A 22,359-nucleotide genomic window follows, 5' to 3' on the forward strand; every position below is an offset into this window, starting at 1 on the left:
CAACTCTGCTTGGAGCTCAGTTTTCCTATGTGTTTATTTTGATTTTGTCTACTTATTAAGTTAAATACAAATCTGAAAATGAAAGAATAATCACCTTGGACTCCTGAATGTTTGCTCAATGTCATTTAGCTCCCATTGTTTCCTGTCACCATAGCAGTCTACTGAAATCTCTCAGCATATATTTCAGAATTACTCTGATAGTGAAAGATTTCCTATCCTATGTAGTCCAACAATTATTGGTTTATTATGTGAAAAATAAAGCAAGTATGTAGCATTTACAGAGTAATCCAGCTCCACTGTTAATACTGTCATTTGAAGAGTTAGCAAGGAATGTGATGAAGACTGAATATCTTGAAACAAAGTTTGGTTGTGCAGTTGCTCTGCTATGAATTATGGGTCTGATTCCCCTCTTTATATGTGGCTTTTGGATTTTCTTCTGCCCTTGAGGTAATCTGCTCCTCCTTTCATTCACCGTGCTTTTAGGTTTGGTTTCAGATACAGCATCCCTTCTGCTACATTCTTTAAAGTTAAAAAAAGAAAAACAATTTCACTTTTATTGGTGATGGGCATTCAACTGAAATTACAAATCGGGAAAACATGACATTCCAGCTCACAGCAGTCTGATTAAAGGTGGAACTCTTATGAAACCACAGGATCTGACTGAACATATGGATCATCTTCTGGCAAGCTTAACAGACACCTGATGTTTTCCTTGGCCATCCAGAAATCTGCATCCTGGTGTAGATATCATGAGTTAATGATGGAGTCAAGTGTAGAAATGTGTCTGGGACTTGCAGACCTCTTGCTTTGTGATACTTTCTTTTATTTTCTTAACTGGCTGAGAAAATGGCTGTCACTCCAAGTCTATCTTCTGATGGGCTGGTAGCTCTCATTCAGGCCATCCACAGCCAGCTGCCTTTCCCCAGACAACCTACATTGCCTTGAGTCTTCTCTTAAAGCAAAAAGACTAGAGGAGAGGAGTGCTACTTTCTTCTCAGCCTTGCTGTCCCTGTCATGTAAGGAGGTACTTAAAAAGCATTCCTATCCAGTTCTCTCTATCTGCTCCGTCTTCTCTCCATGCCCTCATGGAGTACTTGGTAAAAACATTTAAGTAGATGACTTTATGGAATATGATTCCCCGGTTTTGGAGAAATAAAAAGATGAATCTCAGACATCAGTAAGGGCCACATTCTAGTTCAAATTATAAGCCTGTACATAATCAGTAAAACTATATTAGAAATAAAAGCTTCTCAAAAATCCCAAGTGCTCGTTACCCAAAAAATGATGATAGACGGGGGTCCCACAAATGTGTAGTTGTGTATATGTCATAGTATACGAAGGCCAGGGAAATACATAGTGCCACCTGACCTAACCAGCTGTTAAGCATAATTACTGTGGTTTTGCCAGAAAGGAATTCTAAATGCAGGAAGGTTTGCCATTAGTGGGCCACAGAACATGAAAGACTTCCCTGCAAACCTTTTAGAAAATTTATGCTAGTTTATATTTCAGGAGGTAATACCCATTGGATATACTCTAATTTGGGAAACATGGGATGATTAATGAATTGATACAACCTCTAGACCAGGGGAACAGAAGAAAGTTTGGCTTGCAAAATCACAGGCTCCACCTGGTCAGCGCTTATCTTCCTTGTTTAGCTCAAGTTAGGTAAGTTTACCTAATACTCCTTAAAAGGAGTATTTTAAATTTATGTTTGACATTTAATGATTTCAGATAGTTCTTGGACATCAGGATAAACAAATTCAGTGTAGCACATACGTAGTATAAGAATTCTGTTGATATAATGCCGCAGTCATAGTTGTAGCCCATTATTCCAGGTAATAATGATGCTACAATTAGAAAGTTTTCCAATTGTAGTTTTGATTTGCACAGTAGTAATTGCTGTTTCTATTTTCATAGGCAAGGAGAATCCACACATGAATTAGAGGCTTTCCATATTAGGCTTTTTGGAGACATAGACATGGTGGTGATCGCATGGGGTGTTTGAGAAAATGGAGACTAATTGAATGCAAAGTATTCTGTGGGGCAAGCAGAGTAAAGAATCCAGTCAAATGATGTCAGCCAAGGATGGCAAGCCCATGCCCGAAAAACTGGCAGCAGCTCACCCATACCAAGCCACCTGAGACATTTCCTGGGCTGGAAACAACGTTACGGAAATTGAACTTCCGTGCCAAATTTACCACACCTCGCCAAAGCCTGGGCACCTCTCTTATTCATGGGTGCCTCAGGAGTAATTACAGCTTTATAGCATATCTACTAAGAACTTTAGTGAAAGTGAAAAGGAGTCGGTAACCTTGAATTTTAGCAAACTAGAGAAGGAAGATGTGGGTGTCCTTTCCTCACGCGTTAACAAGGATGCTGTTAGGTTGTCTATCTACTCTGAATCCCTACTTAGGAGGAAAGTCACGTATCTGGTTGTGCAAATCAAAGAGCTTTGACAGTTTGTTTTTTGTTTGTTTTTATTTGGGTGCAATTTTTCTAGAAGACTAAATAACCTGTAAAAGATTAAAAACCATGATTGAGTGTGCCTAGAAATAAAGACCACCCTTGACTGGGCTTTTTCTACCCAAGTCCAAGTGAACTGCTTTATCCATTTAGTCAATACATATTCAGTGATGCTGGTTATTTACAAAGTATTTTATCTACATTCTGTATTAATTCTCAACAGTCCTGTGAGATCATTGTTTATTCTTGTTAATACACATATACGCACACAGAAGAGAGAAGTGGGGAACCCCACAAGCCTTGAGAATTTCAAGAATTTGTGGATTTCAGAATGGTTGAGCAGCTCATAGCTTTTCTAACACTGAACTTTTCTCTCTCCAAGTCCCAGTCGCTCGTCAAAAACTGTGCCATCAGCGCAAGACCCTGTGATTTCTGTGGTATTCTAATTTTATCTGAGATTTATTAGAATATATGAGGTGGAAAAAAAAGTTGTGCAACAGGAGATTGGACTCTGGCATCCCACAGCGTATCTTCCCTGCCAACTTCCTAATAAAGGGTGAACTCCAAATATTAAAAAGTTATTAACGTGCTTGAAAGTCTTTCCAAATGCTTCAAAAAGCTAGCAGACACATCCAGTATCATTTATTCAGCAAACATGTACTGAGTTTGTTTTGTGCTCAGCATTCCCGACTAAGTAGGACATTGACCAGGCCATCATGGGTTAGGCTCGGAAGGGAGGGGCCCAGATGCAGAATGAATTGATTAGTTCTGTGGGTGAAACAGATTCAGTGTCCTCTGAGGAGGGACTGACCAGCTCTGCCTGGGGGAGTAAGGAGAAGCTTCAGGAGAGAACCAAGAGCTGAGAGTGGAGAGTTTGGGAGAAGGCTGAAGCTGGGTAGAGAAGCTGGAGGGGGGAGGGCTGTGTGTCCGGAGGATGGCAGGTGACTGGTGTGGCTAGAGAGGCACCGGAGCAGAGGAGGTGAGGGAGGCTTTACCAGCTGTGGAAGGCCTTGCTTTCCACACCCAAAGTGCCATGGAAAACATGAAAATGTGCTTTCTATCAAGGGATACGGTCAGAAATCGAACAAAATATTTCCTACCTGTCTATATCATTGGAGAAATTGTTCTAGGTCCTTTAAGGAATTTTAGGACCCTTACTAACACCTTTCTTCTTTTCCAATAGCATCATCTGTCTTAGATAATAGTTGGCCCTCTGGATCCCTGGGTTCCACATTCATGGATTTAACCAACCACAGATCAAAAATATTTGGAAAAACAAAACAAAAACAGTAATACAACAATAGAAATAATACAAGAAAAAAAGCAATATAGCATGACAGCTATTTATATAGCCTTTACATTAGGTATTATAAGTAATCTAGAGATGATTTAAAATATACAGGAGGATGTATGTAGGTGATGTGCAAATGCTAGGACATTTTTTTATCAGGGACTTGAGCATGTGTGGATTTTGGTATCCGAAGGGTTCCTGGAACCAGTCCCCCTCAAATACCGAGGGACAACTGTACTCACGAGACAGGTTGTTAGAGTTTAAGAGATTCCTAAATCATAAAACCTCTTGTAAAAAGGAAGACTTATACATACAAAGAACTCAGCTAGTCAAGACTAAGAAAGTACCAGTGGGAAGTAAAGCCACGGTTTTAAATAGTAATGTAATGAATGCTTCCCAAGGGCTTGAAAGTCGTTTGTCTTAAGCAGCACTTTTGCCAATTGTTATACTACTGATTTATTTGACAAGCCCCCTTTTTAGTTGTTAGTGAAAATCTCAGAGGTATCACAGATTTCAAATTAATGTGGTCTCAATCAGTGAGGCTTCCTCTTGCAATAATCTGAGATGGCAAGTAGCTGTTCTAGGATACCTCTTTTTGCTACTCTTCTGTCCCTTAACTGAATGTCATTTCAATACCAAGTCCTCTTCTCTAATATGCATTCAACCATGCATGTACAAATATTGACTTGTCCCTTTGCTCAACCCTAAGCCCACTGCACGCTTTACTATTTTCATTCTTACATAAAAGATCTAGAACAGAAAATAGATTGGAAGTACTATATAGATCCACTACATACAGTCAAGGGGAAGTCTCAAGTTTTCTCATGTTTCCTTTTATAACGTGGACAACTGAAAGTTAAATATGTCCGTTTGATATGGGTAATTTAAGCAGCTATAGGTACTTGGTGATTATTGTAAACCTAAGACCTTAAATAATACATAAGGAATCAATTTCAACACTAATAACATCTGATCAACAAAGAGTTCCTTTTATAAGATGAGAACGGCATGGAATTATTTCTAGTTGCCTTAAATGAATTTTAAACACCCGTTATGCGAGGGAGAGTAGGTATGGTCTGTAAGAGGAACTCCAGGAAGCCCATGTGGAATTTTGCAGTTTCCTCTTTACAGGTGACCTGTTAAACAGCCTGCATGTCATGGTAGTGAGATGTAACAGAAAAGCTATGTTAATTAAGGTGACTGATTACCATTCAAATACATGTAAATCACAGTCTACCCAGAGGAAGATAGGAGTCCTCTAACTGCAGGCTTCTTCCGAAGAATTAAAGGGCTTTCTGAAAAGCTGAGGCTCTCAAAGTGTGGGTATGGTACCCACACTGGTGGTGTCAGCATCACCATCACTGGGTACATGTCCATGGCATCCAGTGGGTACCAGGACATCCATTTCTTACCCACTACTAGAAATAAGCAATTCGCTTACGGTTAGCAATATTACCATGAAAAAATGTTAATTTGACAATATTGAGACCAAAGCAAAACAGAATTTTGATATTTGCTAAAAAAGAAAAGGCCTGAAATTAGTGGGCTGGTTGAAAGGGGACTGGAATTGCAAGCTGCTCCCATCTGCCATTCCAGCTTTTAAGGCTTCTTAATTGAATTGGAAGCTCAGTTGAAAAAAGAAAAGGATCATCTATTCTTTCCTCTGTTTTCAGATAAAGTCCTAAGAACTTTTTTGAGGGCAATTTATACCCATTAAAATGTCAAATTCACATATCCTTTGACCCAATAATCTCATTTCTAGACATGTTTGCCACAGAAAACTCAAAACAAGTATACAGTACAAATTAGTTGTACAGGCAGCTTTATTGCTACACTATTTGCACTAATGAGTACTTGAAGAGAGCATGTCTATCATTAATAAAGAATGGTTTATACTATGGAATACTATGAGGCCATTCAAAAGCATGAAATAAACCTTCATGTACCAACATGGAAGGATACCCATGATACATCGTTGAAAGATACAAGATCACTGAGGGAAAATGTGCATATGCTTCATCCAACTTTTGTGAACAAAAACCCAAACATGTAAACATATGGGTGTTGTAAGTATTTATATTTGTATAGTAAAGGTTCTGGAAAGATAGCACCAAGATTTTATTGGTGTTTTGCCCTGTGGAGTGGAATTGTATGAGGATTGGTGGTTATGTGGGAAATTCTTTACATTTACTTTATTATCGTACTACTTTCACTTTATTTTTTAATTAATATTTTATCTTTAATTTTTGTGGGTACATAGGTGTGTATATGGGCTATTTGGATATGGACATGCAATGCGTAATAATCACATCAGGGTAAATGGGGTATCCATCACCTCAAGCACTTATCCTTTGTATTACAAACAATCCAGTTATACTCTTATACTTTCTGATACTTCAGTTTCTCACAATGAATATTCCTTTTCTAAAAAAGAAAAAAAAAGGAAGAAACTAAGTCCCAGGCATATTAAGAGAGAGCTAATTAGCTGTAGAACTAATTCTGACACTCTATTTCCCAATCAGTATTATTCAGAATTATTTTTTACTTCCCTGTAATAGTTACTCAATTTTAGAGCCAGAATTTAGCCTAATCTACTCATTTAACCTCTAAGAAAACTGAGCCCAGGGGGTGCTAAGTTCCTGGAGAGTGGTCCTCAGGTGGTGACTGAGGACTGAGTTAGCCTCCTCCGGCAACCCTACCCCCGTCCCACCCCACCCCACCCCACCCCACCCCTGGGCAAAGTGAAAGTGAAGCAAACTGAGAGGAACTCCTCCACTGTCCCTTCTGCTTACTCAGCAGATGGGAGCCAGCCACTTTGTTTTGTCCTGGGGCCTGTCCTTGATGGCTTCTAAGACTAAAAATCAAAGCTGTAAATTTGTGTAATTTAGAGATTGAAGGTACTGATCGTTGTTGTCAGTGACTGGAAACCAGGCCTATTGAGCAAGAGCCATTGTTCAGTGCCTGTCAGCCCAGAGAGTGTGCCGAATGCACTGGCCATCTTAGACACAGATCTACTTGGTGGTGTTCTGTGTTTTTTCTCCTAAAAGAAGGCTTCTCACACCACCACTGATGAGAAAACAATTCGAGGAAAACGTAGGCACACTCAGTACATGAAGGGAGACACTATTAAAAGCAAAAAGAGGGTTATTGTCAAACTTAGAACGATGCTAATTTGAGTTCTGAGCTCTAAAACTGGTAGAATTCAAACATTAAATGTAGAATGTACTAGTATTCTATGCCTTAAACAGTTGAAAGGAAAGGCTTACATTGGCAAAATGTATTTCACACCAAATAATGATCCTAAATCAGTCTTTTGCAACGTCATAAGATGCAGCTTTGTAAGTATACTTTATTTCTAAACTTTACCAATCTCAAAGGCTACCTGGAGCTCTTATTTCTGAAATAATTTCAAGATGTTCATTCTCTACAGTTTTGTGGTATGATTAACTTCGAAGTCCACTGCAGACACAAATGAACTTTCCCTAAAATGCAACACGAGAGTACTAACTACAGTCAGTAAAGATGAGAGGGGGTTATTTTGTAGCTCTTCCTGCAGGCTGTGAGAATTTTTTTCGTTAAAAAATTCGTTAAAAAAGCAGGATATACTGCTTCAGTCCTTACCATGAGAGCCACTCCCATCGGAACATAAATTAGTCTTAGTATATTTCAGGTTCTCCCACATGTTCACATTCCAACTGGGTGCAACAGTTGACTTTTGTCTTTAACTTTCCTTGGCAAACCGATAGCATCAGAGGAAGAGATAAGCTGCCCCTTAGGGAGCTGATTGTAATGCGTTCCAGACGTCTGCACGCCCCTGGTGCAAGCACCAGCTTTCTGTTAAAGACTCAGGGTTATGTTGTTTGGATGTTTTGTTGTTTGCTTTTTGAAAAAGCCAGATCAGATTTTTGTCATTGTATAAACTCCAGTAGGAGAAGAGGGATGCGTTTTTAAGGTGATTTCTAGAATGCTCTGGCCGACTTAGCTGCAGAAGAAAAAGGAGAAAGGAAGAGACAGTGTATATTTTGGCACTGAAACTTCTTTAGTAACAATGCATTCATTCACAAATCTGGAGAGAACTGAATGTCTGCTTTTTAAAGTCTGAATTGAATTCTCGACTAGACTTTGAGACCCTGAGAAGGTTTTCAATCCAAACCATGCTTAATATTCACGTTTTATCATTATTGATGGAAAGTGAAAGAAAATTTGAATTCTTGGTAGCCAGATTTGACATTAGACTTTTACATTTATAACCTCACTTAAACTTTACAAGAAATCTCATTACAGGTATTATTATCCCCATTTTTAAAGCAAAAAAAAAAAAACACTGACCCTTGGAAAGAAGAACTGGCACTATTGAGATTCACACCACGTGTGGCTGGCTGCATCAGGGGGCTCATAAAGAATTCAGAGCTGGCCCCCAGCTTATCTTCCCCATTCCCTCTTCTCACCCCCAAGCTACCTCCATTAAAAGAGATGCCAGGCTATATTTATTTTATTATGTATACTTACGAATGCATTTGCTCATCTTTGGTGTCATAAAATACAATGAATAAACTCCTATCCAGTTTTTCAGTGTATTTCCTTAATTTTTAAAGCAATAAACTCCTTTAATCCTCCCTTATACTCAATACTAAAAAATGAAAGATCTGATTTTAAGCAGGAAAAGTTTTGTCTTAGCATATAGCCAGGAAACTTCATCTGCCTAGGTCCTGAAATGTAAGTGATCTGCCAGAACCAAGCGTGGGGGTAGCTCGCGAGGCCTCAGCCCTCCTGCTCCTGTGTGAGAGTGCTTTCTTCTGCAACCTGGCTCCTGGAAGGAATGAATGCTCCCCCTTCAGCCCCTACTCCCCACCAAGAATTTAAAAGATAAGAGGGAAACATTTCCCTGACTCTAAAATGGTTTGTTTTTAATATGGTATGTCCAGGCCTGCACTACTAAAATCCTTCATAAAAGTCCTCTAGAAGATAACGATTGTTCACATTGCAAACCTGTTTGAAAAGCCTGGAAAAAATGCGGTATACTGTAGGGAAAGTCAGTCTCCTTTTCTCACTTATATAATTTGTAAGTCTGTCATTTCTTTTTTTTTTTTTTTTTTTTTTTTTTTTGAGATGGAGTTTTGCTTTTGTTGCCCAGGCTGGAGTGCAATGGTGCGATCTTGGCTCACCACCTCCACCTCCCAGGTTCAAGCTATTCTCCTGCCTCAGCCTCCTGAGTAGCTAGGATTACAGGCGTGCACCACCACACCTGGCTAATTTTTTTATTTTTAGTGGAGACGGGGTTTCTCCATGTTGGTAAGGCTGGTCTTGAATTCCTGACCTCAGGTGATCCGCCCGCCTCGGCCTCCCAAAATGCTGGAATTACAGGCATGAGCCACCGCGCCCAGCCTAAGTCTGTCATTTCTAATATGCTCTCCTAGTTTTAGCTCAGTAGTAGCTGAGTATTATACAAAATAAGCTCTTTTTACTGCTGCTTAGCATGTGTCTGCGAACCCTAGCTCAGTACCTGGCATTCCATGGGCAGGCAAGAAAAGTTTGCAGAATGAATTAATCTGGCCCAAGTGTGACTGAGAGGCCAGAGGAGGTCAGTGGGTGCCGTCTCCCAGGCCAGCAGCACACACACAGCTTCCTACAGTCTCCCTTCTTGTCTTTGTCTCTTTACATCCTCTTCCCTTCCTCCCATGTGTCTCTAACCTGCCAATTGCACCAACATTTATTCCCTGCTGCAGAGCCTGTGGACCCACAGTCTGGCTTACCTTTATTTTCTCCATCTCCAGAATATGTCTCTCCTCCATACCCCCATAAATTAAAAGTGACTTAAATATATAAAATGGAAGAGAGAGGCAGGATAAAACTGTTTGATAACTTAATAGTACAACTGGCCAGTCTCTCGTAGATTTTTTGCATTCATTCCAAACCTGTTTTTTGTTTTGTTTTGTTTTTGAGACGGAGTCTGGCTGTTTCACCCAGGCTGGAGTGCAATGGCGCAATCTCGGCTCACTGCAACCTCTGCCTCCCGGGTTCAAGCAATTCTCATGCTTCGGCCTCCCTAGTAGTTGGGACTACAGGCGAGCACCACCTCGCCCAGCTAATTTTTGTATTTTTAATAGAGACGGGGTTTCACCATGCTGGCCAGGCTGGTCTCGAACTCCTGACCTCAAGTGATCCACCCTCCTTGGCCTCCCAAAGTGCTGGGATTACAGGCATAAGCCCCACGCCTGGCTGAAACCTGTTTCTATTAAAAGACTTATACCTTGGAACTTTAATAAGTAATTTATTAAAGAACCGTTAATATTAGACATTAAAATAATTATGACTCCCTTACCCCTATTTGATAAGCATATAGGTGACGTTACACTAAATACTATCCCTGTCTGCCAAAATAATCTAATGTTGAAGCAGTCCACCGCATTTCAGGTCTCCTGGAAATGTGCTGCGATTTTCTGAAAATTAGAGGCAACAACTTGCTGTTGAGGACAGGAAAAAAAGAGGAGGCTAAGACGCAAGGTCCTCTGAAGCTTCTGCCAGCTCTCTCACCAGAACCTAACTCTTGATACCAGTGGAGTGAATCTGGAAGTCTCCTGCCTTCCTGAGTGAGTTGGAGACGTAGACACTACCTGGACAGGCTGGAGAAATGAGGGACTTAAAACGTAGCACACCCCTTGCCCCATGCCACCTGACTAGAAATGCCTGCCAAAGGTATATGGACATGCAAGGCTGGCACAGATGTAAAGCTCAATATATTAAACTAGATAGCAAAGAAATATACACCAAGCCCAGCAATACAAAGCACCCTGCCTTCATGCAGTTAAACATTCTTCTGTTTTAGGCCACACTGTACTTGCTGGCTTCATGTGGCTTCATGAAGGCAAGTGCTGTGTCTGTTTTGATCACTACTAGATTTCTGGCACCCAACATGTAGTAAAAGCTCAATCAGTATTTGTTAAATTCATTGAGAGAGCTGGGAAAGAAGGTAGAATGAAAAGAAAAGAAAAGAAACAAACAAAAACACAAGCCTGGGCAACATAGCTAGACTATCTCTACAAAAATTAGCCGGGTGCAGTAACTCACACCTGTAGTGCCAGCTACTCGGGAGGCTGAGGCAGGAGGATTGCTTGAGCCCAGGAAGTCAAGGCTGCAGTGAGCCGTGACTATGCCACTGCACACTCCAGCCTGGGCAACAGAGTGAGACCCTGTCTCAAAAGGAAAGAACCATCCACAAAGTTAGTAGTGCCTACAAGAGTGTAGTTGCTCTTTAAGCTTGAATTTTTGGTTATTTTGCAAGAGGTATTATTTGCCTTAAGCCATGGTAATTAGATTTATTCTGCTTTGTGGGCTTTTAGATGAGTTAATCGGCTACAATTTCTCTTAATTCCCTCTAATGCTTTCTAGGTGTGGATATCAAGAAACCTACATGTTGTGTTTAGAATATTTTATGTATCACAGATATCAGTGGGTAGTAGACTTTGCACTGGAATTGCCCTTTTCCCTGCCTCAGTTGTTTTTGGTAATATTAACTCTTTATTTACTGTTAAACTTTACAAAAAATGTCAAGTTTACTTTTTAGGACTAATAAATTAGTTTTCATAATTTTAGCCATTTAGGAAAAACAGAAGAAACCACATTGCAGTGTAAAGGGAGAAAAGTCACACATAGCTAATTATTGATAGGAAAATGAGAAGTGAGATAGCAACATCTGAGAGGACTTCATATATGAGCATCTCACAGAGTAACTTTTTCTTTTAGCCAGCATAATTACTAGCTTTTCCCATGTGTGTACAGACATTTTTTTCCTTAGAAATTTTGGCCTTAAAAGTCAAATACAGGTTGTTTTACAGATGATCAATGGTCCTTCTAGAAGAAGTCCACAGAAGCTCTCAGATGCCCTCTAGACCAGCCTTTACTCACTCCTCTGTCAGCATCCTCCCTCCCAGCTCGCATTTTACCAAAGCTAGAAAAGACCCTCAAGGGCCTGGGTGCGTGGAATTATTAGAGACCAGATAAAAGACATGTAAGGAGTGCTGGTGTGGCAGATGCTGCGAAAAAAATGTGCCACAACCTCTGAGGGCAGGAAACTGAAAGACCTCGTGTGGTTTGGAGGCCTGAGGAAAGAGCCTCAGGAAGTGATGTTTGACCTGACATCTGAAGGCTAAATGGGAGACAGAGACAGGTGTGCAGTCAGGAGGAATCGCACATTGAAGGGAAGGGCTGAGACTCTGAGAATGGGGGTGGGAGGGAGAAAAGAAGAGGCTACAGGGGGCGACCAGGCCTGGTGGGCCAGGTGAAGGAATTTGGAGTTGATCCCAAGAGCAAGCGAAAGTCACTGGGGACAGGGAAGTCAAGAGTCACAGGATTCCATGTGGTTTTTGAAACTGGCTGCATGGAAGAGAACAGCGTGTGGGAGAAGTGTAGGAGAGGGAAAGGCAGGACTCATGATGGTTGAGATGAGACGGATGGAGACAGGCAGCTCTGACTTCTGCGGTTCTGACTTGTGAAACAGGATCAGGGATGGTGCCACTGACTAAAGAGGAAGAGAGGATTCCAGTAACAACTAAGCACTATTCTCTTTTAATCTCTGCAACAGCCCTACTCTGTGGGTTCTATTATTACCCCATTACATAGATGAGAAAACAGAGGTACGAAAGATTAAATTTGTCTAGAGTCTCCTGGTAAGTGTTCAGTAAATGTTTGCTACTACTGCCTCTGTTTACTCATGGAGTCATTCATTCATTCATTCATTCATTCATTCATGGATGGTATGCTGTATCTAAGATAATACATTGTTGAACAGAATAGATGTGAACTCTGCTCTTGAGAAAGACTGGTAGTGGGAGAAAAAGACAATAAACAAGCAGTTATCTTGCTTGGACAAGCTGGTCAGGGATGGTAGGACGGTCTAGGTTTCTTAGACTGGAATGTTACAATTCTAGCTCTTGCATAAATCTTGGATGGATATACAGAGGAAAAATACGTATTGACAAAGCCAAAAAAATGTTTCCCAGATGTTCTCTGAGGTTCCACAGGCATCCCCAATGAGTTAGATCAGAAGTAGGCCCTGTGCCGATTTTGTAGGTGGGAAGCTGAAGATGCAAGAAGAGAACAGCCGTGCAGCTGTGCTGAGGTCTCAAAGAGCAAGGGTTCCAGGTGCCGCCGCTCCTGCTGTCCAGCAGGTTCAGCTGCCTTTGGGCCCACCAAGGTAGGAAATGGCCCATATCTGACTGCCTCTGTACAGGTCAAATCACAGCTCCCTGTTCTCTACTATATATAGTAACGACCTTACATAAGAGTGCTATTAAAAAAGGACGACAGAGAGGAAAAGAGAATGCCAGCTGAATTTTTTCCACTAAAGCTCATTTTTAACAGATGTGTTTTCTCTGTTTCCACAATGACAGTGTACCAGGGGACTGTTCTCCAGGTCAGGAGGGAAGCAACCCAGGTACTTGTAGGACTGTAATTGGGTCCGTCTGTGCTGAGCACAACAATAAAATTACTTGTACTTCCCTTTTTATTTAATGTTACTCTCCTCATCAGTTCCCATTTTCCTGATATTTGTGGGAAGGAGGCCATGAAGAAGGATGAAAACACTGTAAAAATAATTTAAACTAAACTTTACAATATATTTGGGATAATGCTGAGAAGGAATGTTCTTTTTTTTTTTTTTTTTTTTGAGACGGAGTCTCACTCTGTTGCCAGGCTGGAGTGCAGTGGCGCGATCTTGGCTCACTGCAAGCTCCGCCTCCCGGGTTCAAGCGATTCTCCTGCCTCAGCCTCCAAAGTAGCTGGGATTACAGGCACATGCCATCACGCCCAGCTAATTTTTGTATTTTTAGTAGAGACAAGGTTTCACCATGTTGACCAGGATGGTCTCGATCTCTTGACCTCGTGATCCACCCGCCTCGGCCTCCCAGAGTGCTGGGATTACAGGTGTGAGCCACCTCGCCCAGCCTGAAAAGGAATGTTCTAAGTTCAGCAAAATGAGTGATTAACATGTAAGTGGTACGTCTATCTTAAATGCTTTAAATTATAATTCATGATTTTTTAATTAAGGCTTTCTTATTCCATCTGATCTCTTATACACTCTAGTACCCAGTGATACACAAATTTTGTTAATTTTGGTAAGTCAGTCTGTCTGTGCAGTGTGTGACCTTGACATTATGTAATATGAATGGGATGGCTACGTGTTCCCTTTTCCCCAGGACAGTCAATCTGCCAGTTGTCTAGAGTTCTATATAGTTCAGCCTTTGTCCCAGATTAAAGGGCCCACATTTGGACACTGAATTATTTACATGACCGTCCTGAATACTAATAGCTCACATTTATCAAAGGCATGCTTGAACATTGCTCAAAATACTTCACATGTACTACCACATTTCATCTTCACAGTCTAGGAGGGAAGTGCTATCATGACCCCCATTTTATTTATTTTAGATTCACTGGTTACATGGGCAGGTTTGTTACAAGGGTATATTCATGATGCTAAGGTTTGGGTTTCCATTGATCCTCTCACCCAGGTGGTGCACACAGTACCCAAGAGGATGTTTTTCAGCCCCTCCCCACCTCCTTCTCTCCCCACTTTTGGAGTACCCAGTGTCTGTCGTTCCCATCTTCATGTTTGTGTGTACACAGTGTTTAGCTCCCACTTATCAGGAGGTATTTGGTTTTCTGTTCCTGCATTAATTTGTTTAGGATAATGGCCTCGAGCTGCATCCATGTTGCTACAAAGGACATGATTTTGCTCTTTGTTGTAGCTGTATAGTATTCCATGGTGTGTATGTACCACATTGTCTTTATCCAATCCACCATTGATGGCATCTAGGTTGGTTCCACGTCTTTGCTGTTGTGAACAGTGCTATGAGGAGCAAGTGTACATGTACCATGTGGGGTTTTTTGGTAGAATGATTTATTTTCCTTTAGGTATATACCCAATACTGGGATTGCTGAGTCTAATGGTAGTTCTATTTTTAGAACTTTGAGAAATTTCCAAACTGCTTTCCACAGTGGCCTAATTTACATTCCCACCAACAATGTATAAGCATTCCCTTTTCTCCACATCCTGGCCAGCAGCTGTTGTTTTGACGTTGTAGTAATAGCCATTCTGACTGGTGTGAGATGGTATCTCATCGTGGTTTTGGTTTGCATTTCTCTGATGATTAGTGATGCTGAGCATTTTTTCATGTTTGTCAGCTGCTTTTATATCTTCCTTTGAGAAATATATGACCCCCATTTTAAAGATGAAGAAGCAGGTTCAGAAAAATTAAGTGATCAAAGAAACTCAGCCAGTAAATAATAGAGTCTAAAATTTAAACACAGGCAGTCTAACTCCAGAGCCTACATGGCTAAGAAGTACAGCATTACCTTTCATTCCTAAACCAGTTAAGAAGTATATGAATAAAACTCCTAGAGGATGGAAGGGTCCTTTGGAACTGGGAAGTTCTTGGAGTCCTTGAATAGAAATGCTTTCCCAATTTGCCAGTGCAGGGGCCCTTTATGGGAAACAGTGAGGACCATCCAACAGTCCAATTAACTGAGCACAAAGCACAAGGCATATTTGTTTTTCTTTCTTTTGAAAACATAAATGTTAGAAAAGTTCAGAAATGAAGAGATTTAGAAGTATAAACTTATAACTGTTGGAACCATCCTCGTATTTTCTAGACCAGTCTTCCTTCTCTCGACAACCCTTCTCTCATGGCCATTCCTCGCCCTCCATGTTTTCATGAACAGTGTGATTGACTACTCTGATTTTGTTAGCTAGCCAAAGTGGAAAATGAGAACTCGGTGAGTGGGCTGGTGTATGCTGCCTGCCAGAGGCAGCGCTCTGTAAGACGACTTCATTGTTTGCTTACCCTAATGCTCCATTACATCTCAGGATTTATTTATAAATTATTTGTTTTAGGATATGGTACTAGCTTCATGAACCCCATTGTAGACTTCACATTTAGAAGTGTTTTTTCCAACTCTTTTTTACTTAATTTTCATGAGAATAGTCCTTACGTCAAGATGAAAGAAAGGTGAAACACCAGGTAGAATCAGCAAACTGATAAGCAGCCCTGTTTAAATCCATGGAAAGGTAATGTTTAAAGAAGACATTTGTTTTAATTGATTTTTATTTTACGTGTACACATTAACTTCATAAATCTTACCTTTCATACCAAGAAGCCTAGATCAGCTAGCGTGTTAATATGCTGACGGCTGAGAGCAAAAATAGATAACCTAAAGTTGTCTAACAAATTAGACATCACTTAAGAGGAAACTCAAGTGTGTTTCAGGGAGCAGTGGCAGATCTGCCTTAGATTTTTAACCACTGCATCATCCTGTTAATCAAGATCAATCAGATACAAAAATCTTTGGTCAGAACCAGTATTACAAAAGAACCTAAGAATTTCTGCTTTCTCATCTTTCTGTTTACCATAACACAGGCATATATCCAAAAATATATAGAAAGCAAAAATTTGGAGAGAATGACATGCGCTTTCCTAAATGCACCTTAATGCTTTCCCTGGTGTTACTATTACTACTGTTGGAAGCATCACTGTTGAAATGAGCCTGTACGTCACACACATTGCTCCCCACACAGCAACACTTCTGATGAGGGCAGCCCCCTGCCTTGTTATTCATTGAGAAATAGAAACTCTGATTATTTAGAGCAAAATTTCAGATTTGAAGAAGTTTTCCTAATAAGGAAGAATGATGTAATTTTCATGGAGGGGGGCCAGGTTCCCTTCATTTGTTTTATTTATATTAGCTGAATTCCAGGGGAAAATGGGCTATGAAGCATGAGGGCTGCTAACTATATTTAGCCACACAAAGTTAGTACATCAGGGGTCATTTTTTCTTTAAGTTATACACTCATAAATGGGCTGGAAGATATTTTTCCCGGCATCTTGTTTTTATAAAGTTTGATCAAGCATAAATACTTTTATTAAGATGCTATCTTTTATTTCGAGTGTGAAGAAAGTATCCATTGTAATCTCTTTAATTTGGCATGTTTCTCTGAGATACTGGTTTTTGGGTCAAAAGATGGATAACTAATAACAATACCTTGGTTCAGAAGATTGTATTAACTTTCCAGAGTGCTCACGCCTGTCATCCCAGCACTTTGGGAGGCCAACTCAGGAGAATTGCTTGAGCTTAGGAATTGGAGACCAGCTTGGGCAACACAGGGAGACCCCATCTCTACAAAAGTAAAAAAATTAGCTGGGCACGGTGGCACATACCTGCGGTTCCAGCTACTTGGGAGGCTAAGGTGGAAGGATCACTTGGGCCTGGGAGGTCGAGGCTGCAGTGAGCCGTGATAGTGCCACCGCACTCCAACCAGGGCAACAGAATGAGACCCAGTCTCAAAAAAAATAAAAATTAAAAAAAAAAATCCAGAGTGGGCTTTAAGAAGGAAGCAATAGTAGTTTCTTGGAAGAAAGATAATGTGTGTTTAAGAGTCCCGTTCTGCCCATTGTCTGGCACTATTCAATCTGGATTCACTCCCATCCCCCTCACCTTACTCTAAATATAAAAATAGTCGGTGCGTCTTAAGACAGTAGACTATCATTTTTGTACTTTTGCATTAAGACTTTTATTTAAATGTATTTATAAACTGGAGAAAAATTTGTAGCATTTAAACATAAAACCTCAGCGTTATAATTGGTCATTCCTTCCTCTTGTCAACGTGTTACAACATTTTTGCTTTGCTCTGTTACATGACTCGGGGCTTACCTGCATTTCACGTGAGAGAAAAGTCAAATTCATCTCCACCCCACAGCCTGCTATCTTCTGCCTTTTACCCTAAATCTTTGGAGGCGACAGCTTCCTCCCCATGACTGATAGTTATCCATGCTCACAGCTGCTGGCAGGACTGACTCCTTTACAACTGTGGCCTTGTAGTTGATCTGAACAGGATGATCCTGTCTATGGAAGCGGAGTCTTCTCTCACTGCCTGAAGGAGAAGGCTCTGCTGGAGATGGAGGGCTCTCATCTGTCAATGGGTAGCACCGACGGTGCCCCAGACATGCTGACCATGTGTGGATGTCTTAGAAGAGTGGAAAGGCTTGAGAAATGCAAGCTTAGAATCATTTCTAATATTACTTGATGGGAAGTCAGCAAATAGGAAACTTGTAAAAAATTGGAGGACAACTTTTTGCCACTATCATGGACAAATCTATCACCACTACCCCAAATATCGGTCCCTCAGAGACCAAGTCCTTAGATTCTGAGGCTCTGCTGTATAATTCCTGTTCAGTAGAGCATCTGGCGAACCTCTAGTAGGACAAACAGACAGTAACCCTTGTGAGAAGTGAGGGAACTTTTAGAACTAGGCCTCAAGGAGCACTGTACAGTAGAAACAGAATGTGAACCACCACAATGAAGACCACATATGCAGTTTGTTTTCTAGTAGTCACATTAAAAAGGAAAAAGAAATTAATTTTAATAGTACATGTTGTTTAACCCAATATATTCAAAATATTATTTTAACATGTAAATAATATAAAAATTGTCATAAGATCATTTTCCAATATCTTTTTAAACTAAATTTTTTAAATCTGCTGTGTACTTGACACTTACAACACGTCTCAATTCTGACTAACCACTGTTCAAGCACTTAATAGCTACATGTGGCTAATGGCTACCATAGTGGGACAGTGCAGGTCTGGAGGATGTGAAATCGGGTGAACACACAACCTTTACACCCGAAACAGTGCTGCAGAATTGATGATAATTACTCTAAATGCTCATCTCTTATCTTTTCGCGTCTGAAAACTGCTGCTGAGTGTACAAACCAGGTAACAGTAATAAGGGCCAATCCCAGTGGTAGAAATGGAGTTGATATGGTGGAGAAGGATCTGTTGACACCAGACCCTCAACCACAGCCATGCACAGCTGGACAGAAGCCCCCTCGGACTCCCAGGTCTGGAGTCGGGGCAGAGGCAGAAAGTCTAAAAAGAAATACATCAGTGTAGTCATTTCAGTAATAAATGCTGTGAAGTAAATAAAACAAGATAGTAAAAGAGAGATGGGAGTACTCTTCTTGCTCACTCCAATAGTTGAGTGAGTCATCTGGGAAGTAAGTTGTGCTGTGGAGTGTGAAAGGTGATTTTAATTCAGCCTGAGAGCCAGGCGCAGTGGCTACTGCCTGTAATCCTGCACTCTGGGAGGCCGAGGTGGGCAGATCACTTGAAGTCAGGAGTTTGAGGCCAGCCTGGCCAACATGGTGAAACCCTGTCTCTACTAAAATACAAAAATTATCTGTGCCTGGTGGTGCACGTCTGTAATCCCGGTTATTTGGGAGGCTGAGGCACAAGAATCACTTGAACCCAGGAGGCGGAGGTTGCAGTGAGCTGAGATCGTGCCACTGCACTCCAGTCTGGGATGACAGAGTCTCAAAAAACAAAAAATTCAGCCTGAGGAAAATACTTCCTCTAGTCCTCAACGTGACTAAAGAGATCCTCATTTTTCTTTAAGAGAGAATTTCATTATTTGAAAACACAATGCCCAAAGAAATGGAAGAAATTGAAGAAGCTGGTTTCTATGTACTTCAAATAATATTTTGGTGTGAGGCCCCACATGACAACATCTTTCCCCCAGGATACCACAGCTGACATAGCTAAAATATGAAGTATGGCCTAAATAATACACAGTGAGCTGATAACTTAGGAAATATTTTTTGTTTGTTTTAGCCAAGGCAAACGAATTAAAAATTTTAATGTTTTGTTTCCATATTTGCTTAAGTAAACTTCAAAACTAATTACTTGCAAAGAATTTTGCCTCGGCTACATGGATGACCAGTGAATGCTTTTGGGAGTGTAGGACTACACTGAATAATCGAATAAATCTATTGAATATGGAATTAAAAAAAAAAAACTAAGTAAAAAAGCATTAGAACCACCATACAGCTTATATCTATATGCTTATTATGTATGGGCTGGCTTAGGAGGGAACTTGAGAAATGGTAACAGTATTTGGTTGATGCTGGAGAGGGAAATTGGACTGGGAAGAAAAAGTAAGAGATGAAGATGTACTTTCAGTGTTCTCTTTATATCTTTTGCATTTTGAAGAGCAGAGGTTTTTAATTTTGATGAAGTCCCAGTTCATCAATTTTTTTTCTCTTATGGATCACCCTTTTGTTGTCTTATCTAAGAAATCTTTACCTAACTTATGGTCACAAAGATTTTCTCCTATGATTCCTTCTTGAAATGTTATAGTTTTAGATTCACATTTATGTTGAAGATTTTTTTTAATTTTTTTTTATTTTTTTAGAGATGGGGTCTCGCTCTGTCCCCCAGGCTAGAGTGTTGTGGCTGCAAGATCATGACCTCCTGAGCCCAGTTGATCCTCCCATCTCAGCCTCCCGAGTAGCTGGGACTACAGGCATGCATCACCATGCCCAGCTAATTTTTTAGTTTTCTGTAGAGACAGGGTCTCACTTTGTTGCCAATGCTGGTCTCAACCTTCTGGACTCAAGTGATCCTCCCCCTTCGGCCTCCCAAAGTGCTGGGATTACAGGCATGAGCCACCATCCCTGGCCTGTTGAAGACTGATATTAGTTAACTTTTGTATAAGGTATCAGTTGTGAGCTGAGGTTGGAAATCCAATAGGGTTTGGAGGGGTTTTTTGTTTGTATTTAATCATGTGTATTCTTTAAAAAATAGGATTTAATTTCAAGAGATTAAAAAGAAATATTGTATAGAAATGTCTGCAGTTATAATAAGTAGTTCAATTTTAAAAAGAAAAAGTTGTTTTGTTTGCTTTGTTTTGAGACAGGATCTTGTTCTGTCATCCAGTCTGGAGTGTAGTGGCATGATCATGGCTCCCTGCAGCCTTGTTCTCCTGGGCTCAAGCAAGTAGCTGGGACTACAGACTCACACCATCACACCTGGCTAATTTTTTTTTTTATTTTAGCATAGACGAGGTTTCACTGTGTTGCCTAGGCTGGTCTCAAGATCTGGGCTCAAGTGATCCTCCCACCTCAACCTCCCAAAGTGCTGAGATTACAGGCATGCAACACTGTGCCCAGCCAAGAAAAAAGTTTTATTATGACTACTGTACTGATTTTCAGGAACAGTCATTGTGCTTTAATTCTCTAAGCCAAAAATGTCCAATTCTGTTGGGCAAAAAGACTATGTTGTTGATTGCGCTCTCTCATATGGTCCCTTGCCTTCAGCCATTTTCATAATCAAAACTTGATGGCAGTATTTTGTTACAGGGTAAGAAACTAAAAATGGTAAAAGCCATTTGTCAGGGTAAATCTGAACTAATTATTTAGATCAGCTGAAATAAAAAGGGTTACAAAGACAAGTTTTCTGTCTTCAGGAGGGGATGTGGATACTAAAACTTCAATGGAAATGAAAAGATATGGATAAATTTGCATCTGCCAGATCTGCTTAGGGAAAGCATATACATGAAGTGGAGGAAGTCTTCCCATATCCCTTACATAAGGATTGAGATCTGCTGCCAGAGACACATGTTGCAATATCAATAGAAGGTCGTCAAATTGCCTTCCATGAGGGAGTGGGTCTGTTTAATGCTATCATTTTGTGACATTGAGAACACGTGAGGCCACCCACACCTTCTCTGCCCTTCACCAGAGCTGGGGCCAGCCTCTTCCGATAAATGCTAAATAATGACTATCGCTTTGAAGGTGCACTTATTAGCAAGGGAGTCCATGTGTCTAGGGTTCTTTTACGCCATTACAGTGTATGAATAATGTACATTTGACGGGGGATGATCCTCTCACCCTACTCAAGTTTGGAACCATTTGACAGATAAACTGAGGAGTCAGAAAGAGATCCAAGCACCAGATTTGTACTGGGGAGAACTCAGAGAAGAAAGGGGATGCACTGCTGGGCCTCATGAGTTGGCTTATACTTCACCTTGAGCTAAGCATACTAATACCCAGTCCAGGCAGCATTGAACAGCTCCGCGCAGATCTCACCCTCCAAAAAACAGGAAGAAAAAGCCCTCTCACTGCAAGCAAGATCCAAAGAGAGAAGAGCAAGGGAGGGGCTGATGTGAGCATGCCCAGATCCATCCCCCACCCATATTCGCCACCAAGGGCGGAGACAGGCAAAGAGGGCCCCTGTCCTGGAAATCCCTCCATGAGGAAGCAGTGAAGGATGCAGGGCCCACTCTGTCAGTGTCTAGTGTTCCACTGATCCTACATAGTAATTTTGAAAGACGATAGCATGATGTTCCTGAAAGGAAAAAAAAAGTTTCCTCTATGAGGTCATTAACATATATCTTGAGTGACTTTATTGTCTTCTGGTTCATTTTGACATTTTTGTAAATTCTATAGATCTTTTATTTACTCCTGTGATATATTTTAAAGATCAACAAATGTCCACACCAAAGAAAAAAATCACCAGTAAGTTCGTAACTTTTATATTTCTATACTTTTAACTGTTACATTAATCCTGTCTTATTCAAAAGGTATTCACCACAAAAATACTTACTAATCTTGGTTTCCTGGTATGAACTCCTTGTGCTTCTGAGATTAGAGATACGCTTTTCTTTACGGGTGGCCACAATCAAGAGATAAGATCATGCCTAAAAGGACAAGTTAGGAACAGAAGTGTGATTAAGTATATTCTGTATTAGTTTTAATTAGGACTATAGTCCTTTAA

General features: G+C 40.6%; 1 protein-coding gene and 1 long non-coding RNA gene across 28 annotated transcripts in view; one reads left to right on the top strand and one right to left on the bottom strand.

Annotated features, from left to right (window-relative positions):
* Positions 1-22,359, top strand: part of PALLD (palladin, cytoskeletal associated protein) — a 431,390-nt gene that overhangs the window by 344,640 nt on the left and 64,391 nt on the right. The window lies entirely within an intron of this gene.
* Positions 2,687-22,359, bottom strand: part of LOC102723331 (uncharacterized) — a 33,246-nt gene continuing 13,573 nt past the window's right edge. The window contains exon 2 of the long non-coding RNA XR_007058358.1: positions 2,687-22,282. This is a non-coding gene — a long non-coding RNA (uncharacterized LOC102723331). The remainder of the gene's footprint in view (positions 22,283-22,359) is intronic.

This window comes from Homo sapiens, chromosome 4 (assembly GCF_000001405.40).
Source record: "Homo sapiens chromosome 4, GRCh38.p14 Primary Assembly".
NCBI lineage: Eukaryota > Metazoa > Chordata > Mammalia > Primates > Hominidae > Homo > Homo sapiens.